The 16113-nt window shown below is 36.9% G+C and overlaps 1 annotated feature.

Annotated features, from left to right (window-relative positions):
* Window positions 9780-10074: an enhancer, noted in NCBI's record as "tiled region #2920; HepG2 Activating DNase matched - State 8:EnhW". NCBI's record gives its function as "activates a minimal TATA promoter and a strong SV40 promoter by Sharpr-MPRA in HepG2 cells {active_cell/tissue: HepG2}" and the evidence as "EXISTENCE:reporter gene assay evidence [ECO:0000049][PMID:27701403]".

The following is a 16113-nucleotide window of genomic DNA, read 5'->3' on the forward strand; positions in this document are numbered from 1 at the left end:
CTCTGCTTCCTGCTTATTATTTAAAACTTTATTTTTTGTCCAAATTGTAGGAAAGTTGCTCTGATATCATTTCCTTTATTTGCTCTGACTATTTTAGTAAAACTGGATGGTCCAAAGCCCACCATGATTGATTTCTTTTTAAATCACACTTTGTTCCAACTAGAATTTTTTAAATCACCAGCTTGATTGAAGTAGAATTCATGTAACATAAAATTTAGTCTTTTAAATTATACAATTCAGTGATTATAAATATATTCATGGAGTTGTGCAACTATTGCCACAATCTAACTACAAAACACTATCAGCACCCCAAAGAGAAACCCCATATACATTAGCAATAATTTCTCATTTTCCTCTTTCCTCCAGCCTTTGACAACCATGGATCTACTTTCTTTTTCAGTGAATTTAACTGTGCTGGACATTTCACATAAGTAGAATTATATGATATGTGATTTTTTGTGACCAGTTTCTTTCACTAGGCATAATGTTTTCAAGGTCTATCCATGTTGTAGCATGCATCAGTACTGCATTCCTTTGTATTGCTGAATAATATCCCATTGTATACATAGACCACATTTTGTTTACCCATTATTCAATTAATGGAAATATGAGTTATTCCTACTTTCTGGCTATTATGAGTAACACTTCTATGAACATTCATGTGTAGATTTTAGGGTACACTTGATTTTCAATTCTCTTAGGTGTATGCTTCAGTTCCTGGTTTGTATGGTAAGCCTACGTTTAACCTTTTGAGAAACTGTCAGGCTCTCTTCAAGTAGGCTGAGCCATTTTACACTCCAACCAGCAGTATGTAAGAGTTCCAATTCTCCACATCCTTACCAACAGTACTATTATATGTCCTTTTGCTTATAGCTATCCTTCTGTGTATAAAGTTTTATCTCATTGTGATTTTGATTTGCATTTCCCTGCTAGCTAATGATGTTGAGCATCTTTTGATGTGATTATTTGTCATATGTATATCTTCTGCGGAAAAATTCCTTTCAAAGACTGATCATTTTTAAATCTGGTTGTTTTCTTATTGTTGAGATTTAAGTTTTCTATATATTCTAGATACAATTCCCTTATCGGATATATGGTTTACAAATATGTTCTACCATTTTCTGGGTTGTTTCTCACTTTCTTGTGTTCCTTGAAGCACAAAAGCTTTTTAATTTTGGTGAAGTTCAGTCTACTTATTTATCGTTTGTAACTTGTGTTTTCTATTTGGTTCTTCATATGCCAAAATAGTTGTTGGAGTTTAGAAAAACTCTGCTCTCTATGCACACAGTATGCCTATAAAAATTGTTATCTCATCGTAGACTTAATAAAGTCCAAACTCAAAGGCTGATCAAAGACTTCTTTGTCCTAGAAAGTACCTGAAGCAATAATCTTTAATGGAAGATCTGCTAGGAGAGTTAAGATGTGGAAGAGATTGATTTCTGCTGGGGAGGACCAAAGACATATCAAAGACACTTTTTTCAACTTTGGTAGGTTTTAAATACGGAGAAAAATTTACAATCCCAAGGGCACTGCGGACCTATTCTAAAGACAAAGATGAAAAGGCTGGTTGAAATCTGAGTAAGAGAGGAGGAGTGCATGATAAAGCATTGAATGCCAAGCCAAGGATGAATTCATATTCTCTTATGAAGAAACCGTTAGATAGTTTAGGGGAAGGTAGGACTGTGAGTCCTTCTGGACTTTGCAAATGTTAATCAGATTATAGTCTGGAGAAATGATTGCAAAAAGAGAGCACAGAGTCAAGGAAGCCAACAGGGAGACTATGGCAATGGGATAGATGAGAGTTAGTACAGATGGAAGCCTTGCTCGTAACTGTAGGGCAAGGAAAAACAAAAGATGCCGCAGTGGTCAGTTTGTCAAATACCTGGCACTACTAAGATGCAAGATGGGGTCTCGCAACGGGAATAAGAAAACAAGCTAATTGCGATGAAAAAAAAATTCCGATTAAATAAACTTATTTTGAATTCATTGTAATCCATTGTTCTGATGTTCCAAACATCAGAAGTTTGTAGATTCCTTAATAAAATATAATCTAAATTATATTGTTTTTTGAAAAATATTCCTGCAAATATTTTTTCAGCTGCAAAGGCAGGAACAATGTTGAGAAAGAAAATTTATTTACTTTGTCATTTTGACTCCAGCTGTAATGGAGAAAGAAGCCTGAACTCTATTTTCAGCTCTTCATGGAAACATCTTAAAATTCTCATTTCTTTATGCAGATTAGGTGCAACTTAAATGGTTGTATGTTTTCCCCTCTTGAAGACAAAAAAGATTGTATATATGTGACTGCAATAGCATATGAGGCAGTGTTTTTCTGTATTATATTTTTGTTCTTATATATTGCTCCACTGAAGCCCCTGGGGGTTCTAACAGATATTAAATTTGTACAGTAGATCTAAAGGAGTGAGAAGAAGTTCATTTTTTCTGGCTTTTCTTCCTATAAGCTCTAGTGACTGCTAAAGAGCAAAGATAGTTAATCTAGTTTAGGTTTAAGGAAATCAGGTAAAGACAAGAGATATTCTAACTACATTTAATTAGACATTTCTTACCTAACAAAAGAAAGATGGGGAGATAGGGAAAAAGTATTTCCCACATAGATGTGTGATGACAGATTCTTTAGTGCTGGTTCTAATTGTGTTCTAGGTGGCCGTTTTTTGTTTATATGTTTTTTTCTTTTTAACCTCCTTTTGTCATAGTGACTTTAGGAAACGTAATGCAAGCCATGGACCTTTTCCCAGGAAACACACTGCAATAAGCATACAGGTTCAGGGGTATGCAGACTCCCCTAAAACCCAATTACAGACACACCATGAAGAAGTCACTAGCACCACACTTGAGTGATGTTAATACCCAAGATTATATTGTAAAGATAATAATGTTAAAATAATCACATTGATATGACTGTCTAAAAGTCAATCATGAGTTCAGAGTATATTAAAAAATAAAAACTCATAGCAGAAGAAGGGCACTTTAGGTATCTTAACACAAGACAGTTAATAAAAGAGTTGGTAACTTCTCATGTCTTAATCACTTTACAGTAGCCATAATGCAGTCAACTCTTCATCATTCCCAAATAATCTAATAAAGTTATATATTAAGACAAATCAGAAAGATATGGAATAAGTGTCCCCATTCCATTTGTCTACTCAGAGCTAGCTTCATGCAAGGTACATAACCTCAGTCAAGATTTACTGGGTGTGAATTTTTCAAAAATTTGCTTGCTGTTTGCTTTGATGAAATTAATTAAGCACTTTAGTTGAAGAGCACTTTTACTGTACTGCAGGTAGCAGTAAATGCAAAGGTGCTGGTTCTACCATTGTATGGTAAACTTGGGGTGTGCCTGATCACACCTTAAGCTCTCATTCTTGCAACAAGGCAGTCTGTGAATTCATGGTTGCTAGTGTCTATCAGGAAGCAGCCTCTTGCCTATGACCTTGTCACAAGTACCTGTACAGATGACCCTGAGCTTAGAGATTGTAATACTGGCTTCCCATACCCTCTAATGTGGAAGGGATTCAGAAGGGCAATGTGTCATGCCAAAGAGAAGGTCACTAAGGACTCAGTGGGCCAGCAGTTGCCTGACATTGAGCTGCAGACAGAGCAGAGGCAGGAAGCTTTATGAGAAGCAAAGCTCACGACAGGAGGTCCATGTATGGCTGTGCAGGTTGGGCCCTGTGCCAAAGACCCCACTGAAAGGGTTTGCGGACACAACATTCTGCATCCAGAATCACTCGCTTTGGTGGATAGCAGTGTCTACCTGCAGGGGAAATCTCTTCCCAGTTCTGACAAATGTCCAAATGCCCCACATAGGCTATTGGTGGTCCTGATTCCAGGTCAGTGGCAGGTACTGACGTCTTCACAAACTCAGTGGGAACAGCCTCCATCACGATCAAAATCAGGACTGAGAGAGGCTGATTCTCTGAGAGAAGTGGAATAAGATGATGACATGAAAAACAGGCCAAACCTCAAAATACTGAGGTTATATCAGCTCCCTTTGAACCAAGATTCTACTTTTGGAAGGAAAAAGTTGAGAGGATAACCAGTCCTGGATGGAAATTGGAGTTTAAAACACCTGAGTATTTACCCAGATGACCCTGATCAACCTGAGAGAGACAATGCAAAAGTAAAAGAGTTTGCTGGAACTAAAATTGCCAAGTTTGTATCCTTACATCCTACTCCAACAGACATATCCAGCCTCTGAAAGTTATTGAATGAATTTCATGTAGGAGATGACTACATTTATAGAAAGCCAAGAACTCTATGTTTTTGATGATTAAGCGTAAAAACTTATATATCACATCTATTCCCATATAATTTTAAGTCTCTCCCCCCAGTATTTATTTTATTTCCCAGAAGCTCTTGAGAATGCTTTGAATATAGCATATTGTAGATGCTCAATATATTTGCAGACGAAGTGTTTTGCTAATGGCTTAGGATATCATGAGGCATGTTTAGCTCTTCCATTGAAGACTGACTGCCTTTTCAGACTCCAAATAACTTATGTCGCTGTTTTTATCACATTGCATGTCTTTGTTGTCAATGTTTTGGGTTTTGGCAGAAGAGAGAAGGAAAACCTGTTAGCTATATTTGCACAACATATACAGTCAAACGTTGGCATAGCTACAGGCTAAACCTGATAAAAATCTGCTCAACAATCTTTCTAAATTAGTTCTTTAATCCTATGAAAGGCAAAAAAAATATTGGGAGATGAACAGAATGCTCAGAAGATGCTAGATTAACAATTCTTGAAGCTGAAGATTTCTCTAATTAAATCACAAATAGTGAGACCCATTTCTCCTAGCTATACTATACTCACATCCCTGGCTGAACTATGTAATATCTTTAGAGGGTGACATTAAGTGGTCTTCTACCTTTTGTGTGTGAACGTTACTTGTGTCACACTGAGACAGGAAAAAGCTGGACGAGGCACCAATATGAAAAGCTTTCTTCCTTGTCTGCCTGCTATATGCAACAAACTTTTACTGTAATTATTTCACTTGGTTAAAATATTTTTATATTTATTTATATTTTTGATAGTGCAAGATTTATATCCAAAATGGAAATCTTTATTGCTTTGCTTTAATTCCAAATGTATCAGGTAAATAGCTTATATTTTCATATTAATAACTCATGGTATAAATATTACTTGATATTTTTCTACTTTTCTTCACTGTGTATGGAGCATCATCTCAGCACACATAGACTGCCTTAATCTTTTTAAAAGAATGTATGCTATTACATTGTATAGTCTCCACATAAATATGTATCAATGGAAAATGGATTAAGATGGTTTTTACCTTTTTAGTGCTTTTGCAATCAATATTATATTAAACAACTTGAACATATATCTCTGTGGATTTTTCAATAAATTTCTCTGGGTCTCTATAAACAGAATTGCCAGGTTAAGCAATATGTGCATTTAAACTGTTGATTTGCATTGCCAGCCTACTCTAGAATGGTTGTACTACTTTGGACATTAACGTGGCACTTACCATTTTTTTTCAACTCATGATGCATAGAGGAAATGAAAGTGTCTGGATGATATCTTAGATCGTTTGGGCTGCTATAAAAATGCCTTAGACTGTGTTGGGCACAGTGGCTCACGCCTGTAATCCCAGCACTTTGGGAGGCCGAGGTGGGTGGATCACGAGGTCAGGAGATCGAGACCATACTGGCTAGAGATGGTGAAATCCCGTCTCTACTAAAAATACAAAAAATTAGCCAGGCGTAGTGGCAGGTGCCTGTAGTCCCAGCTACTTGGGAGGCTGAGACAGGAGAATGGCATGAACCCGGGAGGCAAAGCTTGCAGTGAGCCGAGATCGTGCCACTGCACTCCAGCCTGGGAGAAAGAGCGAGACTCCATCTCAAAAAAAAAAAAAAAAAGCCTTAGACTGGATGATTTACAAACAACAGAAATGTATTGCTCACAGTTCTGGAGGATGGGAAGTTCAAGATCAAGGCACCAGCAGATTCAGTGTTCGGTGAGCGCCCACACTCCACTTTATAGATGGCACCTTTTAACTGAGTCTTCAAATGGAGAAGGGGGGACTAGCTTCCTCCAGCCTCTTCAATAAGGATATTAATCCCATCCATGAGGACAGAGCCCTTATGACCTAATCACCTCCTAATAATGCCACCTCTTAATACCGTTCTACTAAGGATTCAGTCTCGACATAAAAAGTTGTGGGGACACAAACATTTAAACCATAGCAAATGGCATGCAGATAAACATAGGAAGTTGTTCTCAGCTAGGCAAACCAGCCAGAGGGCTTCAGTTACACCTAAGGTTAAGAGTATGAGTATTCCTCCAGACCATTTCTGACGCCCCATATAGGAAGCATTATTCTGACCAACAGTGTGTTGAAGTCTATTATCAACATTTAAAAAAATCTCCATTCTAATCAGCAAAATTCCTTTTTTAATTTTATATTTCTTTGACAATTAGTGACATTGAAATTTTTTTTTTATGTCAATGGATGTCTGTGTTTTTCTAAGAATTAGCTCTACATGTGCTTTGTCCATGTAACCCCAACCTGTGCCACCTGGATGTTCCCAACTCCACACTTCTGAACACTCTTTCCACTGTATAAGCCCTCTCCCCACACCCTAGAGAATCATTACCCTTTCCTCATCGTTTCTGAGAGTTTGGCACATGGTGGGGTTGGTTATACCCATTGGCTCTTCCCTTGTGGCTGCTGTTCTTATTCAACCACTTGCCCTCACCCCGTGAGGGACACCACTCCTTTTTTTGACTAACACAGTGTTAATAGAAGCCCGTTTAAGTTGTAAATGTTTAAGCAAATTTGGAGTCAACACGGGGTTACAACATAGAATAGCCCACGCATCATAAACAGTATTAGACTTCAGTGTTCCCAGGATGGATCTTTGCCACGCCCACCAATGGGAGACTTTCTCAGCTACCCTGTACCTGCTTAGTTCTTACTTAAGCTTCTCCACACTTCTTGGGCCCTTTCTTTTCCCTGTGTCTACCTTTCTCCAAATTCTAGACTCCATAGTCTCTCCATAAACTCTAAACTTCTGTTAGTTTAAATATCAGGCAATCTTGATCGTGTACCTACACTTTTCAATTAAGCTAAAACTGGAGGACTTCTTCTCAGACTATAAGGTCCATCAAAGTGTTTCCTGAACAGGAAACGCATTCTCTTCTGTGATAAAGATAAAAATACTGTACCCTTTCCGTCATTTCTGTTGTTGTCTTTTTAAAGAAGATGTGCCCCATTTTTCTAGTGGGCTGTTTGCTTTTCATTTTCATTTGTAAAAAAATCATTTATATCTTATTTTTACCACTCACAAGCTGCATGCCTTGGATAAGTTTTTAAATTTCTCACTATCTCAGTTTCCTCATCTGTAAAATGAGTCTAACAGTAGGACATACGTTAAAGTCATTGAACAAACCAGATATATACTTATTCCAATTACTAGCATGTAGTAATCACTGTATATATTAGCTATTATTGTTATAATTAGTACCATTATGAAGAATATTAACCTTTTCTGTGTATTGTAACTAATTTTCCCAGTTTATAATCTGCATTTCTAGTTTTTGCCCTCAATCTTTTATTCTACAAAAATTCTTAGGTAATCTGTCAGGTGTTTTCTTTTATGCTTTCTGCCTTCCCCATCATGTTAAGAAAGACTTCCCCCACCCCAAGATTATTTTTAAGAAATCATTTTCACGTTTATATTTACTATTAAATTATTATTTAACCTGGAAACATTTGTTAAAAGTGCTAGACAGGAATGCAATACCTCTACTCACCCAAATGAATATTCTCGTATCCTCAGAATCTATAAAGGAGTTCTTTAAACTCGAAATTTAATAAGGATAACAAAAGATTCATCATAGAATAGGTGTATATTTTTTATCATGTAATGGGCTTAAATAAGCATAAAATGGACACAAGACTGTAAACCACAATTACTGGGTTCTTACTTTAGCTTCTAGACCTTCCTCAGTAAGGCCTTTGTGAAACTTGAGCCAGGTTCACGGAGAAAAATATCCTCATGGAAGAGTTTGGATTCTCCTATTCTCACTTTCTATTTAGCACGATCCTCACCTACCTAAGGGCTCCACACTCTCTGTTAGTCTGAATTTGGAGACATTGTAGCAACAAGACTTAAATTTCTTTATATTAATATAAAGCCTGTGATACATGGCGGGGGGCAGGGGTGGGTATCAGTTCCATGCAGACCAGACGTAGGCTCTTCCTCAACTGCTTATGAAGACTTCATCCCTGATCTTTCTAGCCACTGCAGATCCCCATGATAATGAAACCTAAGGAGATCTATCCTTCAACAAACTCAGCTTCATTCCTGCTGCGGCTGCCAATCACTCAAAAACAGCTTCTATTTCTCTGTACTCTATGTCTTTGAGTTTGGAGAGAAAGAAGTAGTAGAAAAAAGCAGCTTTGAGCTGGCTCCTACAACTCTATCCAGCCTTTCAGGAATTTATGGCACTTTCTTGATGAGATTACCACATGTACCGCTCATAGATTTTGAAACTTAAATTTCACTGTGGGGGTATTTTAAGCCTACTTGGACTAAATAGTCATTCTGCTATACTGTGGGCTCACAGGGGGAAAACTGTACTGCAAGATACCCAGCCCTAGGTGTAGGGAGAATAAACATCTGTGTAAAAGAGAGATGAAAAATCACCCTCGATGGATTGTTATGGAACCTACAATTTCATTAACATCCTTTTTAAAGGCCTCCTTGAGAATACAAGTGTTTGCATCTCAATTAAATAGGCATAACCATTTTTTAAATTGTGAATCACAAAAATTTATGTATCTCATAATTCAGTGCTCGTGATAGCATTAAATTAGTGGAAATTAATAGGGAAGTGGTCACAAGCAGGTGACAGGGGTTAGGGATGGGAAAATATAAGTTGTAAAGTGTAGTTGAAAGAGGACTAGTTTGAAGTCAGAATACTCCAGTTCATTCATTCACACACAAAAAATTTAATCACAAATTAGTATGTGCTGAATAATGTGTATGACGGGGAGTATATGCTGGTGACTAGGACAGATATGTCCTCAGCCTCGAGGGAGCTTATACACTGTTGAGGAAGACCAATGGGTAGATACATAATTAGAAATGGCTATGCGTGCCACAGGGGCAAATGAGCAGGGTGTGGAGATAGGAACAGACTTTAGAGGGGGGACTTTTTCATTAGATTGGTCAAAAAAGGGGCCTCTGAGGAGATGATTTTTAATTCAAAACCCAAAGCATGATCAGGAGTCAGTGATGTGAATGAATCAGACAGAGAGGAAATCACATGAGAAGACCCAGAGAAGTGAAAAGATTATGGAGTTTGAGGACCTACTGGGGGTTGCATGACTGGAAAATGATGGAAACAGCAGAGAAAAACATAAGATGAAGTTGAAGGGTAGGCAGAGGTCGCAGCATGAAGGGCATTCCCAGCTACCCTATGGACTTTGGGCTTATTTGAAGTGAGGGGAAGTCGTAGGAAAGTTTTAAGCAAAAGAACATGTGATCTGATTTGCATTTAGAACTATTTTCTGGCTACTGTACGGGAATTAGACTGTTTTTATAGTCTCGACTCTGCCTTAATTTGCTATTAGATCCAGCCCTGTGGATTGTAGATGTTCTCTAAGTTCCCTTCAAGTTGTAAAATCTCAGACTCTTACTAGCTCTAATGAAAAGGTGTGATGGAAAACTGGGAGAAATGTGTATCTTGGTGGTGATGGGGATTTGGAGATGATATGTTAGAAACCGCTAGATGGGTATTTACGGCAGTGTGGAAAAATGACAGTCAAATGGTTCATGTCACAGGCTTATCCAGAGTCAATCTTTCCTACATGCCAGAAATGTGAATAACACACATCTTTACTTAGCACTGCTTGACCTGATAATCCTTTATTTACATTTGGGAAATCTAGTTCAATAGTCTTTTGTACACTCACCAAATATTTATTGAATGCTTTGTATTTACATAGCACTGGGAGGGACACAAAGAAGGTGGTGTGATCTAATGAAAAACATGTGGGACGTGGAGTCAGTTCTGAATTTACATCCCAGCCGTACCATTTATTAAACCAATAATGTCAGGTCTCTGAGTCAATTCCCACTTCTGAGAAGTGAAAATGATGACACCAACCCGAATGAGATGATATACATCAAGTACCTAATATAAGCATCTATCGCAGAGTAAACACTCAATAAACATGTGCAACATTTTAGGATCTCAGTGACTGTTTCTCACGAGGCAGGCAACTTAATATGCAGTCTATTCTTCCAATATAGTAAAGTGAGTTCAAGATTGCAAACTCATTTCTCATAAGTTCCTAAAAGCCTGTATTTTTTCTAATGTAAAAGGGAAACAAGTTGAACAGTCACACTAAGAAAAATTGTTATCTAGCAATATCTATTCCCCAGAGAAATTTAGCCTTTCAATTTTTCTCTTAAGAAATAGATATGTACAGGCGTTTGCAATTTTGTTGACTTGTATATTTCCCCCATAGCTCATGAGGCCTGTTCAAATACAAACTTGGCTTTCATACAAAGCCCTTGATTTGTAGATAATACAGTCCTAAAAGGTGCTATGTGGAACTCTCTTTAGCAACATTTCTTAAAGCTTAAGATCTTCTCATTCAGACACTGGCATTAGAACTGAATCGTATTTTTGGCTAAAGAAAATAGCATAAGCCACTACAGGATTTTCTTTTCATTTTTGCAAAGGATTCATCAACTTGTCATAGAAGCAGCAGGGCTGACTCCTCTACCATTCCTTCTCTACTAACTGACACTGATGCTTGTATTTATAAGAAAGCTAAGTTCTAAAGGCCAAAAGAAAACCAAACACCCTGTTGTAAATAGCCGAGAGACAGATTTCATAATATGTGTACAAATATTAATGTTTTAGCATAAGCAATACAAACATCTTGAATGAGTTTTGCATCTTTATACTGCAAAGCGGTATCCTCTCTGAAATAAAACTCAAGCAAAATATTTAACTAAAACGATCACTTGCAGCATGTGGGAGGTAAGGTTTAAATGGCAATTTCTTTCTAAAAGACATAGCCAGAGTCTAGAGTTAGTGTCACTTATACCTGACCTCAGAATATGCATATGGAGGTAAATATTCCTATTAATTCAAACGCACTGGTACCTGCCATGGCCTTACTTTATTTGATGTATTCTTTTTACAGTGGGGTCCCCACTGTATCATCCAGCTCGCCCAGACAGCAATGACTTTGTTGATGCAGTATTCTCAGGAGCTGCTTACCTCACCCAATCTTCTTTATGTATAGAATCTGAAATTGAAATTGCAGTTGTCTACCTAGTTTAAGTACCCTTAGCTACCCTTACCTTCTTTTTCAACTTATAAAGCACTTATCCAGAATGATTGAATCCCTATCCCCAAAACAACCTATATATAATCTAATGATCAGTTATGTATAAATGCAAAGATACATGTCATATGGCTATAGTTTTATATCTTTATCCTTATTCTTGAAATTCTCACCCATGACAATTTGTTCTATTTGTGCTAAGGATCTTTACTGGTCCTCTATTAAAATGCAAATACTTTAACAGAATTTCTGGGACTTTCAGCCAGGGATTGGCTTTACTGTCCTTACTATAAATGTGTTTACCTGAGTAGTAACTGCAGAGGTAGCTGAGATTTAAGTCGATATGGAATATGACATCAGCAGTTTCTGATAAGCTGACAGGACAGAGTGTGGGAAAATAGTCTTAAAGCAAGGGGATGACCAGAGGAGGTGAGGAGACAGTCTTTCGTGGATTCTCATGTAGTTAGAAGAATAGCGTGAAGGCCTTGAGTACTCAATGTAGGAAGAAAAAGAGTAGCCTGGAAGAAGAAAGAAGCTCTAAAAAGTGAGTAGGAATATCCAGCCATCGGTTTACTTCTTCATAGTCTTAGAAGTGACATTTTTGTTCCATAAGTGATTCTACCTCAGTACATGTTTCAGAAGGTGCTTGGCCTATGTGCTGTCTATATCTGACATATGATAGTGTTAAAACAGATAACACAAAAAGTTGCTTTCTACTCAAACATTCCATGAACTCACTCCCCAGTGAGGAAGATGGAGGCAAAAGCGAAATCTCCTTCATTTGTCCATAAGAATATTGATTTGTTTATGCCACAGATACATAAATAGCAAGGCAAAACCTCCACAATGGAATTCATGCAATTTTCATGGAAACTAGAGTGTGACAGCCAAGGCTGGAAAACTGACATTGGAATAATATCATTCTTATAAGCCATCACCCTGATTAAAATGGAAAGTTGCCAGGGGCTTGAAAGGGGTTTCAGATGAATGGTTTCATTTGTTTTGAGGATATTTGCAAACCCTAGATTCAATCATGTACTCATACATTAAAGGACCTGGTGAAAACAAAGACACTCTTGAGATACTCTGAATGAGAAAAAAAAAGAAAAGTCAAAGCTTGACCAGAACGCTTTCAAAATACTTCCACTAAAAGTACCCAAATGTGGACTCATATTTCTTATCATTTGAATAACTCAAATCCATTTAGTTGCAAGTTTACTGTTTCCCCTTGCTGCCATAGTCATTTTCAGAAAGTAAATTAAATACCCCCACAACCTTCCATAACTCCTTATAGCCTTTTTCTGATGTTTAAGATCCTCCAAATCTTAGTCCCAATTACTCATATAATGTTACTTTTTCCCACATGTAGATATCTACTGATTGAAACAAATTTTACATTTATAAATACATGAACATGCTGGGTCATTTTGCTTTTGTTATTGTTGGAATAACAACCTTTCTCCTACTTCCTACAATAGATATTCAACTCATCCCTCGAGATTCATCTATCCTAATCTCCCCAGTCACCAGCTTAACCTTTTTCTCCTTTAATTCACTCCACCACCATCTCAAAGCACTTAATATTTAATACTTTTTATGACACTTTTAATATTGTGCCTAAAATCTGGGGGTTTCTTTTGTTATTATTTTTTACTTTTAGAGAATGAGGTACTTATCTAAGTTTCCCTTCTGGATTGTTTCTATTTCAAGGCAGGAACTAGGTTTCACTCACCTTTAGAACCTTTAGGTATCTCTCACATTTCTGTTGAATTAAATGTTAATGTTGACTTTCCTAGACTTTTAAAGGCATTCCCAGATATAACTGAATTTTGGAATTGTGGAAAGAACATAACAAAAGCTAAGGCATGCTGGTTAGTTGAATAATTCAGCCTCTTGTGTAGAAACGTGCCTAAGATTACTGTCCAAATTATCTGTCGTGTTCTTAATACAAGGAACCACTCAATAGGTTTCTGTTTGACTTCTATAGCCAGAAAAAAATTTCCTGCTGGTGTATCTGTTCACTCATTTTTTTTTTCCTTAATGTTGTGAGCACTCACTATGTACTAAGATTAACAAGGGAAAAATAAGAGAAAGTCATACATTTTGGTGTATATTCATCTTAACAGCCTTTCCAAAATGGTTTGTTCTACTTAAATCCAATACCTGAAAACATCTATTCCCCCCATTATTTTTCATCCTCACATGTCATATTTTGCACTGTTTAAATCTGTAAGTTGCTACAGATCCCTTTGGACGTAGGCGAAGGATGCATAGTGAATATTAATGACTACATCTGCTAATACTCATCATCCAAATGCCTCAAAAGTTCCACAGATCATATCAACACCTACAGAAAGCACTCTGAGATACACGCTGCTCCATTTGAAAACGGAGTGATGTGTAAGATAATCTCATCAAGTTTCTTTCTTTTTGGCTGCTGTGAAACATGAAGATTTTGGGCACTGAGCACGTTTTGCCATTAAGGATCTCACAGCACAAATTGTCCACAACGAGATGCTCATAACCCAGACACCTTGGCCTAACTCCAAAGAAAGTAATTACATTCAGTCTACCTGAAATTCCCACTGCAGTGAGAATTGGAATCAGGTCTGTCACCTGCTTAGTTGAACTATTATGCAGCATCATTGTACAGCAATAAAACAGCTGCTCTATCTGACTTATTTCTACTTTCTCCCAGTTTGGGCAACTAAAATGGCTCTGTACAAAATTCTTTCAGTAAGAACTTGGACAGATAAGACCTAGAGATTACTTCATCTTTCTCTAAGACCCAGGAATTCTGATGTTAAGAAAATTTATTTATGGGGCTATATAAGCTCAGCATTACAAAGAGCCAAGTTGCTACATGGTATAGACATGTTTAAAATTACCATTTTTCATTTTTCATTATTATTGTCAGCAAAAAGAAAAGTCAGTGGCAAGTCCTACAAAGACTCTCTAGTTTCTTCAATGACAACAACAACAATATCAACAATTTATACAGTTAGGATGAAGCACGTCTTTTATTTTTATTTTGTTTTACTAATAACGCTAAACTCATGAGAAATTATGATGCCTATTACAAGTAGTTCTTAATACATCATAGTTTTTTTCCTCTTCTTTGCAGGTCAGAATATATTTATTAATTCCTAATCCTAGAATTAGAAACGTTTTATATACTTTTACTGAGTGTCATTCATTATCGGATAACATGGTAAACTGCTATAGGAGAAACTCTTAACACCTGTTTTTGCAGGCAGATATTTATTTTCTTTTTTATGAGCTACAAACAAAAATGGCCAAGTCTTTGACTGGGCTATCAATGTAAGATCAAAGTGAAGCAACATCTCTCAAAAGGAATAGCTAATTATCACTAGCACTTATTGGTGACCTCACTGTGTGTCAGGCTCTATGTTAAAGAAATGACTGTGTGTTCTCATTTAATTGTCACAGTAATCCTATAAAGTAAGTGGTTTTAGTCTTCTTAGGTTAACTATGAGGAGAACTAGGCTTTTAAAAGTAAATAACTTGCCTAGTATCACAGACAGAAAGTGGCAGAATCAGAATATAAAAGTCAATCAGCCTGACCCTCAGTCTATAATATAGATATTGTGGAAATGTTAAATGTTGAAATATCTTAGAATTTTTAAAAAATGAAATACTATGACAGAAACTAAGAAAAACTCTCGAGTCCTTTGTAAAAAAAAAGGCATTAATTTTCAATCTATTTTTAAATAGTCAAAATAACTAGTTATTTAAATAAAACAATGATAATAATAAAGTTCAAAGGCACTTGAGCAACTTTGCTTTAGAACATGGCTTGATAGAACAGCTTATTTTAAGTAGGACATTCAGATAAGTGTTATTATTTTTGTGCTGGGGTCTGAGCAAAACAAAAAAAGACCGGAATCTGCTAAAACACAATCCTTCTAGGGAATGTTTCTTTATTACCATAAAACAATTAGTAATACTTGGCATAATGCAATGAGAAAACCAACAGCACCTGCTCATCCAAAAAAGGTTCATTAAGGTTCACTTTTCTCTACTGAGACATGAATATGACTGAGCAAATACAGTCCCTTTTGTTTGACCCCTGTTGAAAGTCTAATTTGTATTTTGTTTTGGCTTTCCCTCCAACTTTTTTGTGTTGTTGTTGATACCTTTCTTCTCCAGAAAATCCATTAAATAGAATGATTTGCTTCTTGTGTATCTCGCTTAATTTAGGGTTTGCCATGTTACTCAGTAAAAGACAATGGGGCACTAAGAGAATGGGATACTAATCCCATACAGGGATTTTGGAGCACACTTCCTTCTGGCAAGAGGCCTGGGTGGGGAAGAAGTTTTCTTGAATGAATGGTGTTTCTTTAATCTTCTATGTCAGGTATGCCATAATCTCTCACAGATATTTGTAATTACTCAAAAGTAGCTACCACGCCCGGCCAAAAGTAGCTCTACTTTTTAGGGTAGTGGCTTTATAAAGTTTGACACACATCAGAATCACCTGAAGTGCTTGTTAAAACGGATTCTTAGGACCCACCCCACAATTTCTGATCAGGACTCTAGAGTGAGGCCAAGGGTTTGTATGCCTAACATGTTCCCATGTTACTGATGTTGCTGGTCTGGTAACCATATTTTGTGAGACACTTTTCCAAGTTATATGGAGGCATTCTTTTGCCATGCTGACATTTTTGAAATCTGTAATAGTTTTTATTTTCCTCTTACCGCACCTTCTCTTGTTGTGTTACATCTTCCAGAAATTCCA

Source organism: Homo sapiens, chromosome 14 (genome assembly GCF_000001405.40).
Source record: "Homo sapiens chromosome 14, GRCh38.p14 Primary Assembly".
In the NCBI taxonomy this organism is placed as follows: Eukaryota; Metazoa; Chordata; class Mammalia; order Primates; family Hominidae; genus Homo; species Homo sapiens.